Here is a 12087-nt window from a genome sequence, read left to right as displayed (position 1 = left end):
TTAACTCAAAATGAATCATAGAGCTAAGTATAAAATGTAAAACTATAAACTTTTAAAGGAAAATATAGGAGAAAATTATTACATCCCTAAATTAGGCAAAAATTCTTATATTAATAACACCAAAACAATACTTTCAAGGAAAAAAATTGGTAAATTAGAATTCATTAAAAATTAAGAATTTGCTTTGCAAATGACATCGTCAAAATAATGCAAAGAAAAGCCACAAACTAGGAAAAAACCATCTGTGAATTACATATATGACAAAAGACTTGTATCCAGAATATAAAAAGATCTCAAAAATGCAACAATAAAAACACAAGGAAATTTTTAAAAGAATCAAAATTTTGACCTTTTTCGCAACGGGTTTGCCGCCAGAACACAGGTGTCGTGAAAACTACCCCTAAAAGCCAAAATGGGAAAGGAAAAGACTCATATCAACATTGTCGTCATTGGACACGTAGATTCAGGCAAGTCCACCACTACTGGCCATCTGATCTATAAATGCGGTGGCATCGACAAAAGAACCATTGAAAAATTTGAGAAGGAGGCTGCTGAGATGGGAAAGGGCTCCTTCAAGTATGCCTGGGTCTTGGATAAACTGAAAGCTGAGCGTGAACGTGGTATCACCATTGATATCTCCTTGTGGAAATTTGAGACCAGCAAGTACTATGTGACTATCATTGATGCCCCAGGACACAGGGACTTCATCAAAAACATGATTACAGGGACATCTCAGGCTGACTGTGCTGTCCTGATTGTTGCTGCTGGTGTTGGTGAATTTGAAGCTGGTATCTCCAAGAATGGGCAGACCCGAGAGCATGCCCTTCTGGCTTACACACTGGGTGTGAAACAACTAATTGTCGGTGTTAACAAAATGGATTCCACTGAGCCACCCTACAGCCAGAAGAGATATGAGGAAATTGTTAAGGAATCAGCACTTACATTAAGAAAATTGGCTACAACCCCGACACAGTAGCATTTGTGCCAATTTCTGGTTGGAATGGTGACAACATGCTGGAGCCAAGTGCTAACATGCCTTGGTTCAAGGGATGGAAAGTCACCCGTAAGGATGGCAATGCCAGTGGAACCACGCTGCTTGAGGCTCTGGACTGCATCCTACCACCAACTCATCCAACTGACAAGCCCTTGCGCCTGCCTCTCCAGGATGTCTACAAAATTGGTGGTATTGGTACTGTTCCTGTTGGCCGAGTGGAGACTGGTGTTCTCAAACCCGGTATGGTGGTCACCTTTGCTCCAGTCAACGTTACAACGGAAGTAAAATCTGTCGAAATGCACCATGAAGCTTTGAGTGAAGCTCTTCCTGGGGACAATGTGGGCTTCAATGTCAAGAATGTGTCTGTCAAGGATGTTCGTCGTGGCAACGTCGCTGGTGACAGCAAAAATGACCCACCAATGGAAGCAGCGGGCTTCACTGCTCAGGTGATTATCCTGAACCATCCAGGCCAAATAAGCACCGGCTATGCCCCTGTATTGGATTGCCACACGGCTCACATTGCATGCAAGTTTGCTGAGCTGAAGGAAAAGATTGATCGCCGTTCTGGTAAAAAGCTGGAAGATGGCCCTAAATTCTTGAAGTCTGGTGATGCTGCCATTGTTGATATGGTTCCTGGCAAGCCCATGTGTGTTGAGAGCTTCTCAGACTATCCACCTTTGGGTCGCTTTGCTGTTCGTGATATGAGACAGACAGTTGCGGTGGGTGTCATCAAAGCAGTGGACAAGAAGGCTGCTGGAGCTGGCAAGGTCACCAAGTCTGCCCAGAAAGCTCAGAAGGCTAAATGAATATTATCCCTAATACCTGCCACCCCACTCTTAATCAGTGGTGGAAGAATGGTCTCAGAACTGTTTGTTTCAATTGGCCATTTAAGTTTAGTAGTAAAAGACTGGTTAATGATAACAATGCATCGTAAAACCTTCAGAAGGAAAGGAGAATGTTTTGTGGACCACTTTGGTTTTCTTTTTTGCGTGTGGCAGTTTTAAGTTATTAGTTTTTAAAATCAGTACTTTTTAATGGAAACAACTGGACCAAAAATTTGTCACAGAATTTTGAGACCCATTAAAAAAGTTAAATGAGAAAAAAAAAAAAAGAATCAAAATTTTGAACAGACACTTCAACTAAAATACATATGTATGGCAAGTAAGCACATGAAAAGACAGTCAACATCAATAGACATCAGGGAAATACAAACTGAAACCACTACCTGCCAATTAGGAAGGCTAAAGTTTAAACACAATATGACAGTACAATGTATTAGTGAGGATTCAGGCCACTGAAATATTTGAACAACAGTTTGGTAGTTTCTTATAAGAAACTTAAATACACACTGACGATCTGATCCAGCAATCTCATTTTAAGGTACTTATCCAAAAAAATGAAAACTTATGTTCATATAAAACCATTATGCAAATGTAATATGGCAGCTTTATCCATAATCACCCAAAGCTGGAAACAACTTAAATGTCCTTTAGTGAATGGATACACAATGAATAAGAAAAATTCAGCCATAAAGAGGAACAAACTATTGATACATGCAACATGGAAGATTCTCAAATTCATTATGCTAAATTTAAGAAGCTAGGCTCAAAAAGCTACATATGGTAATCCGTTTCGCTACCCTGGAAAAGGCAAAACTACAGGAAAGAAGAACAAATCAGTGGTTGCCAACAGTTTGGAGTGAGAGAAGTTGCCCCAAATGGGGGGCAGTTAGAAGGAACACTTTGGGTCATGAAACTTGATTGGGGGCCAGGTGTGGTGGCTCACGCCTGTAATTCCAGCACTTTGGGAGGCTGAGGCAGGCAGATCACGAGGTCAGGAGATCGAGACCATCCTGGCTAACACGGTGAAACCCCGTCTCTACTAAAAATACAAAAAATTAGCCGGGCGTGGTGGCAGGCACCTGTAGTCCCAGCTACTGGGGAGGCTGAGGCAGGAGAATGGCGTGAACCCAGGAGGCGGAGCTTGCAGTGAGCCGAGGTTGTGCCCCTGCACTCCAGCCTGGGTGACAAATCGAGACTCCATCTCCAAAAAAAAAAACCAAAACTTGATTGGGATCCAAAATCATACAACTATACACTAAAATCGGTGAATATTACCTTATGTAAATTAAAAATTAGGAAATCAAAAGAAAAGCATACATATAAAAAATAGTTTTTTCTAAGCATTTCTCATTTGTAAGGTGTTTTAATTATGTTGTATGTTGTCTCATTTCACCCCCATAACAAATCTATGAAAGAGGTACTTTTATCCCCATGTTAACGTGAATAAACCCAGGTTTGGAAAAGTCGAGAAACATACTTACTGTCATATAGTTAACAAGTGACCGAGCAGGGATGTGAAGCCGGATTCCTGACTCCAAGTTCTGAGTTCTTCCTCCTGCACAGTGGTCAATTGGCTAGATCCACATAAGCAGCATGCACAAACTCACCACTCACACATACATACCCACAGACACACACCACACAGGATGGGATACATCTCACAATCACATATATGGAATGAGTGATATGCATATATAAAATTGCATTATTTTTATATTATTCTTATTTTATATAAATCCTACCACGAGGCATAGTCTGTCTCATTCATTCATTCATTTATCCATCCCTTCATTTATTCCCTCATTTCCTCAGGAAATAGCTTCCTTTGTGGCAGGTGCTATTCCAGACTCTGGAGATACTACAGTAAACAAAACAGAATAAACTCAAAAACTCTAAAATGCAACAATAAAAAACAAGGAAATTTCAAAAAGGATCAAAGTTTTGAACAGACCTTTCAACCGAAATATATATGTAGTTAATACACACAAAAAAACAAGTAAATAACAAGTGGGATATTTGGTAGTGACAAGTGCTATGAAGAAACACTAAAGCAAAGTAAGAAGAGTGAGTAAGAGGAGGAACTGTTTTAGAGACAGTGACTGGGGAGGCCTCTCTGCGAAGGGGAATTGAAGCAGAGAATGGGTGGAAGAGAGGCAGGGAGTATTGGGAAGGTCTGGCAGAAGGTTTTTCCAGGACACAGGAATAACCAGGAGAAGCCCCTGAGGTAGGAGTCGCTTGGCACGTTTGAGGTACAGCCAGTGGGCTGCTCGGCTTGGGTGAGCTTGCAGGGCTGAGAGTGGGAGGAAGCCAGGGAAGCTGTAGAACTTTCCTACTTACAGTGCGTACTTGTAGCTGTTCTTCAGTTCTCCAGTGTAAGTGTATCTCCCTGGTTAGTTGCAAATTATTTACAGGACCATGCTTTCTATTTTTTAAATGAATCTCAGTCTGTACCTGGCACTTCACGGGGCATGGAGCTAATGCCAAATAAAAACGTGATGGTTGATGAGTGCTGTTCATACACATTTCCCAGTGGTTCCACCCCTGGAAGGCAGCTATGTGATCAATAAATAGGATGCTAGGAGAGTGGGAATTTCCAGCAGTGCTTCATACTGTCACCTTTGAGACCTATAGAGAGTTCTGCTGAGGGCAAGGTTTTGTGGTATAGGAGGTCATCCTGATGAGGGTTTTTTGTTTTTTTTTTAAAATGGTGGCTTTTAGCGTAAATTGGCAGGGATTGATCAGGTGTTTCCTCTGGGCTAATGCTCCTTGGGGATCATGGGATGTGGTCTGCACACTCATCTGAGAAGGTCCAGTAATGGCAAAGCAGTCACCAGGGGACCCATGTCCTCAGAGGACCTGGCTCCTCAGAGAAACTGCAGGTTCACTGGGGGAGATTATCAGGACTTTAGACCTCAGGATGAAGAGCCACACTCCAGGAGGGGCTGTGGATAGTTACTATGGTGCCCCAGAAAGGTGTCAGGGTAGTGCATGGGGAAAGCCCCCCAGGGTCCTGGCCAGCTTAGAGGCAATGGGGAGGAGCATGCTGGGCAGACTGTGCGGGGTCCATTCATGATCAGCCTAGCTCCTGAGGAGATTTGCGTGGCACAGGTGTGAGGATAAGAGCAAAGATTCCAGTAAGGAACAAAGAGACAGTGAATCTCTAGGAAGCCTGGACTTTTGATTTAGCCAGACTTGGGTTTGCAGCCTGGCTCCTGCCCAGGGTAGAGTAAGCTTCTGTCACCACCACCGCCATTACAGGGGAATCCTAGCAAATCCATGAGAGCCAGAAGCTAGACACAATGCCTGGTGGTTAGTGCTCACCATATACTTGTCCTTGGATAGCCAATATCAAGTTAAATTTGCCAGAATTGTCACTCTGGGCCAGAAAGAGCTGTGTCCTGGCAATGGTGGCAGGGAGTCACCAGCAGGATCGGGTAGGACCCATGGTCACCACAGTGGCTAGTGCTGTGAGGAGGATGGAGATGCGGGAGAGTTTGCTCCCATAGATGAGCACCATGGTCGGGCCACTGAGACAGAGACCAGCGCACTGAGGGCTGGGCCTGGCAGTGGCCCCTTTGCACAGGCAGAAGAGCCTCCTGGAAGAGGACTCAGTCTGGGCCCACTATGGGGGCTGACTGCTTGTAAGGAACAGAATAGACCACCAGGGGAGAACACCTCCCACATGAGGTAGTGCCAGAGCAAGACGCTGGACCTGACAACAAAGTCTTCAGTGGTGAAGACAGCAGAGACTCCAAGCTCCCTGTGAAGGAAGTGACTCATCCCGTCCCTAGCCCAGCTCCTTTCCTAAGGAGGAAAAAGGTGAGAATTCCAAAAAGAAAAACTCTGTCAGTAAATTCTAACATGCGAGGTCTCAAGGAGCCCTACTCGGCCCCCGTCCGACAGCCAGTAACACAAAAAGCTGTCTGCTCAGAGACCACACCACAGTCTGTTCTTAGGACAGAAGAGCAGATGGGTGGCACACAGTCCATAACCACCAACATGGAGTTGCTGTTCCAGGTGGAGCCAGGGCCTCACTCCTGCACCCCGTGGAGCTGTGACAGCTGGTGGCGGGCATTCTGGTGACAAGTGAGCCATGAGCAGGCTTGTGTGGCACAGAGAGCGGACTCATTCTTACATACCCATGAGACACCCTCTGGAGAGTCCCAGAAATACTGGCCTGGAGCTTACAGGTGGAGGATGTGTGAAGGTCTGCAGGTGCAAATGAGGCCAAGCAATCAGTGAGATTTAAATTGGTCCTGTTAACCTGACCTCATTTGTATCCTCAGTATGGAGGCGCTTTGGGAAGATAAGGCAAGAATAGTGATGATCAGTAATAGCATCTATTTGTTGAGCACCTATTGCAGGCAGGCACTAGGCTTAATACTCTAAACATATTTTTTTTACTCTTTATCCCAACCCTGAAATAAGGACATTTGAGACAGAAGGAAACTGAGGCTGAGCATTCATGTAAAGGTTGCGGCAGCATCTGGGAGAGGTGTGGGAAAGCACAGGAACAGGACCCAAATGTTCACAGCAGAAGCAGTCCCTAGCAGGAGCCCTTCTCTGGCATGCTCGCTGCTCCTTCTGGACTCAGCAGGAGTCTCCAGACTCCAGGAAGGACATGGGGCAAAGCTCTGCTTTTTGACCTGGGCATCTCCTTTTGAGGGAGTGGTGAGTTAGCCAAATGGGGCATGGAAATGACTGTGAAAATGGAATGGCAGCTGAAAGAAGGTCATGATCCAGGAAAGGGCATGAGGAGGGCAAACTGCAAAAGCCTGAGGCACTGCAGGGATGGGAATGTTGAATGGTATAATGGCACATCAGGGTTTCCATGACTTTGATGCAAGGGGAAAGCGATTTTCACCTCAGACTCAAACTGGAAGTTTTTCTCCCTACCAAAAGGCAGGATGCCAGAGAAACAGACCTTTTCCCTCCTGGGTAAGAGTTTGGTGTTTCTCCAGTGCTCCACTCTGACCTAGCAGGGAGCTAGCAGAGACCATCCCACAGTCACCTCATCCAGCAGAGGATTTTCCACATGTGCCATGGGCTCTGTTCCTCAGCGACTTCAATAACAGAGGTTCAGCATCTGGGGGGTGCCAGGCTAAAGGAAGTCAATCAAGCTTCTTGTTTTGTGTTTCATTTTGCTTTTACCCTAGCGTTTTCCAGAGCCTTTAACATGCTAAAACGAATTGTCACTCACCAGAAGTGGAGATGCAGCCAGTCCTGAATTTATCTGAAAAGTGAAAATCTTTATTTGGAAAATGCTTATTAACATCTTAGTGAATTGGCGTTCTGGGGAAGATGATTTAGGAAAATCTGCTCAATGCATGTCACTGCCTGCTTCATGATTGCTTACTGCTTAATTTGATGCAACTTTTTTTTTTGTAACCAAAAGTCAAATAATAACCCAGGTTTACCATTTGCAAAGCTTCTCCCTACTCCCAACACACACACCTTCCTCCTTCTTCCTCTTCTCCCTTTCCCTCTCCCTCTCCTTTTCCTGCCCTTTACTGTACAAGAATGCCTTGAATAAAGAAAACCTATAAAACAGAAATATAAATTTGGAAGTGATTATTTAATTGGCCTTTGATTTCATGACAGGCAAAAATAAGTTGGCCCTCATATATATATTGCAAAAAATGATACTTTAAATACTAAAGGATTTAAAGGATACTTGGTAAATATTTGTTGGCTTAATTCATGAAACGTGGATGTTATGTGAAAATACATTATCTGTATCCCAGAAATAAAAAAAAAATATATCCTTTTTCTGGCCTAGAGCATAATACTTCGGCCCTGGGGACCCCGCTCACCTGCTATTCTATGTATATGGTGCCCCCTGCAGCAGCCCTGGGCTCATTACAAGTAACACTGATTCTTAGGTGTTTTATGCCTTTTTACCAATCTCTTTAGAGGAAGCAGATGAACATTTAGAATTTTAACAGGGAATGTTTACCTGAGGGCAGAAGCTAGATGAAAAGATCAGCTGGCACCCAGAACACATATTTTTCCTGACAATCCAGCCAAATGTGAATCCAGGGACTTGGTGTAATTCATCAGAACAAAGCAACACTGCAGGCAGGTTGTGTGGTACCCACTTGCCTTTGTAATACCGCCATGCTCAATTCCAAACACAGTCTATCAACTCATCAGAGCCCGACTGGTGAGAAAGCCAAGGCTGGCGGCAGGTTTGGTGCCACCTCTTGGTGCCAGAGCCACCTGCACACAGCATGGAGCAAGGGAATAGCCAGGGTGCCCTGGAGCCAGTTCCTTCCAGAAGCCAGCAGCCCTAGGGCTCCTCTATCCCACTCCCAGCAAGAAGAAGCTGCCATGAATATGAAGGTAGGAAGAGGAAGCTCAGACCAGGGCAAGGCTTGGGCTGTGTCTTAATTCTTCTCTGGTCCCCAGGGCCCAACACAGTTGTCTGGTTAATACTGCATTAAATGCAGCGAATTGATTCTAGCCCCAGTTCCACTAAGAAATTCCTGAGTGCTCTCAGAAAGTTACTTCTCTTGGAGCCTGCAGCACAACAAACCACTCAGAACTTGGTGCTATAAAACAACAGCAAGCATTTGTCATTATTATCTTTCACTTCTTTAGGGGTTGATGGGGCTCAGCTAGGCAGTTTTTGGTCCTCATGCAGTGACAATCAGACAATGGCTGGGGCTAGAGTTCCCTTGAAGGCCTTTCCATTCATACTCTCTGGTGCCTGACTTGGGAAGACCTAAATAGCCGGCGGCTGGAACAGCCGGGGCTCCTCAGGCACCTCTGTCTGTTACAGTGTGCTCCCTCCATGTGGACTCTCTGTCAGGGTAGTTAGACTTCTTACATGAAGTCACCTGTACCCGGAGACAGGCTGGTGGAAGTCAATAACCCATTGTGATCCAGCTTCACAAGTCAAGCAGTGTCACTTCCACCATATTATATGCACGGAGACAGTCAAAAGTGCTGCCCATGTTCCAGGGCAGGAGATAGGTCTCTCTTCTTGATGGGAAGAATGTTAAAGAATTTACAGACTTGCTTTGAAACAGAGCCTTAATTTCTCCATATCCTCTAAATGAGGATAATGATACCTTCTTTTTTCCCTAAGGTATAACCCCTTCATAACCTTCTATTATAAGTGTTCGGTATGCTGATATTTCTTTCTCCATGCCAGAACGTACTTTCAGAAGAAGCTGAAATATTCTTTATAGTAGGATGTAAATAACTGATAAGGCTTAATATGGCACCATTGCCAGGAACTTTAGTCTTTTCATAGATCGCAACATATTTAAAGCCAATGGAATATATCACAGCATTTTGAACATCACTGAACAGTACTCAGGCAGAGATCTGTGAGCTTGGAAATGAAGCACCTACTCTTACAACCTACCTGAAAAGATGTTTACTGTTGCCTGTCTTGGTGAAAGAGCAATAAGGGACTTTGAGTTTGGGAGAAAGAATTCAGAAGAATAGTTAAAACCTCCAGTCCCAAGAACAGACCTCCTCTCTACCCCCAACCACTTTTAAACGCAGACACTAGGGACAAACTGACCACATACTTTGAAGATTACAGTAGACCTTGAACTAGTAAAGAGAATGTATCATATGAGGTTAATAGAATCAGAAATTTTGGCGAGTGAAGCCTTATCATGTCTGTCTTAAAACAATCATTTGGACCAAATATTTCTTCTTGAACTTAGGTAATTTTTGCAGTCGTTTCAAATAAAAGTCTGACCATTCTTCTTTCGTAAGAGGCAGACTTGGAAATAGTGTTGATCATTACTTAAATTGCTGTCCCCTCAGGAGTTAGATTTCCAAAGGAAAAAATATAATTCTTGTCATTCACTTAAAATTTACTGTCTATTTCTCATTGTGATTATCTTTAATAGTATGATATTTTTTATTTTATCTCTCACACCATAGTATTTCATTTACTTTTAAAGTGGTCGTCTCATCAGGTTCTAAGATCAGGTTGCTTATTTGTCAGGCAAAAATACTCATGGATTCTAAATTATATTTTCTCCACAGCATGTTATTATGAAGTCACCAGTTTAGTATTTGACCTCAAATGACACTGAGGTCCATTATGTTAATATGCGCTCTCACTATAGTTTAAGTTTATTACAGAATATTCTGAAAGATCTAAATTTATTTGTAACTCGTGGGCAAACTCCCATTTTAAATCCTCTAGTTGTTTAGAGTCACAGCAAAACTAGCAACTTGCCTTTCAACATTTGCAATAGCATAATGTGGCTTTCCACAAGCCACACTTGTTTTTAAAAGTATGTGCTAAAGAGGCTGACTCAGCATTCTGAGATGCTCTGGCATTGTATTACCCGCCCCCCCCACAAAAATTTTTTTTCTTTATCTCATACCTCAAATTACAGGTTATTTGTATGCAAAAACTGCAGCTAGTTCATCTGTGATACTAACTGCTGGCGACTCAATAAAAGCTTTTTAGTAACATGTTTTTCTTAATCGAATATTGTGTTGCTTTTATAATATCTACAAACTAATTGATAAATCTCACACTTTTAATCATTTCACTTTGGAACATACTCTATTTATTCTCCACACTAAAATATTGGGCAAAAAAAACTTTTATAAGAAGTGCAGAAATAAAATTGCCAAAGTCTAATTATAAAACAAAAATATTTGGGGTTTGATTTTAAATGTTTTAATTAGAAAAGGAAAAGCAGTTTTAAGTGCAGCTTGCTATATAGCCATATTCATATCAATATATATTATTATGTTAACACAATAATAACTCTTTGCCCTTTTCATATGGAAAATATATTGTGAAAAAGAGAATGACCTTTGTTCTACCAAATGTTAAACAATAAAAGCATATCGTTTTGTCTGACCATTTAAGACCCATGATCACTTTTAAAACTCAACAATGCTTGGTTAAATAGTCTTAATTCTTTGTAGTCTGTGCTACACATACAAAGATTACACAGATTTCTTTTCTAAAACTTTAAAATTATTTTCTAGTTTCACTAGAAACAACAGGTGTAAGATTCTATTTCCACCACAAGGTGTCAGTCCACGGTAATTTAATCTTCAAAGGGCTTTAAACTAATCCATGGAAAGTCAGTGACTACAGAAAATGCTTATATTAAAACATGAACAGTCTTCGGTGCCCTAGCTGTGAATAAAAAACAATCATGGAAAATGTGGTTGCGCGTTTATTTTCCTTTGTGTTTTCTACTCAGCTTAGTCCTGAGAATGTTGTATACCAAATCCCCAGAATTTTGCAATTCATGTCTCAGACCCTATCTCGAGGCTGGTTCCAACGGAGAGAAGTAAATCCCCTGCTCAAGTTGTCTTTTTCTAAAACCTTGGAATATTAACAGTTAACTTTACTTTAGGTTTGGAATACTTCATTGAGCTAGGATATGGGAAGCTGCACTTAAAAGCTGAGGCAAGGAAGGGAGGGACGGAGTAAACATGGGGTTTAAGGGTTTTTTTTTTCGGCTGGGGAGCAGGGTTTGTGCGATTAAAGGTACACAATTTGAACAATTCAGGGAGCAAGTCACTCTCAGAAATTCAGCTTCGGATTCCTCAAACTGTCAATCACAGCCACTTCAGGACCGGCTGTTAGGTTTTAAATAAGGTGGCTGGGCGCGGTGGCTCACGCCTGTAATCTCAGCACTTTGGGAGGCCGAGGCGGGTGGATCACGAGGTCAGGAGTTCAGGACCAGCCTGGCCAAGATGGTGAAACCCCCGTCTCTACTAAAAATACAAAAATTAGCCGGGCACAGTGGCAGGCGCCTGTAATCCCAGCTACTCGGGAGGCTGAGGCAGGAGAATCGCTTGAACCCGGGGCCGGAGGTTGCAGTTAGCCAAGATCGCGCCACCGCACTCCAGCCTGGGCAACAGACTGAGACTCCGTCTCAAAAAAAAATAAAATAAAATAAAAATAAATAAGCTAACGTGTGGGAGGGTTTGTAAGCTCTAAACGGTCTATCTCAAAGTGTGATCTGGGAATGCTTCCATATCTCATGGGAACTTGTTAGAAATGAGAATCTCAGACCTCATCCCAGACATACTGAACCGGAAACTGTGGGTGGACAGCCCAACAATCGGTGTTTTAATATGCCCCCGGGTAATCTTATACACGCTGAAGTCTGAGAACCACTGCTCTAGAGAAATGCACAAACGTTCCTTAGTGGAGATTAAACAAAAGGCGAGGGGTTGGAGGGCGCGAAACGGACCTCAAGGGCAGGGCAGACGGCATTTGAGAGGAAACTGGGAGAGGCCGGAGTG

At 43.0% G+C, this 12087-nt stretch overlaps 1 pseudogene; it reads left to right on the top strand.

Moving 5' to 3' along the window:
* Positions 350–2095, top strand: EEF1A1P6 (eukaryotic translation elongation factor 1 alpha 1 pseudogene 6; annotated as a pseudogene).

Source organism: Homo sapiens, chromosome 7 (assembly GCF_000001405.40).
Source record: "Homo sapiens chromosome 7, GRCh38.p14 Primary Assembly".
NCBI lineage: Eukaryota > Metazoa > Chordata > Mammalia > Primates > Hominidae > Homo > Homo sapiens.
Note: the sequence above shows the minus strand (reverse complement) of the source record. Positions and strands in the feature narration are given on the sequence as shown.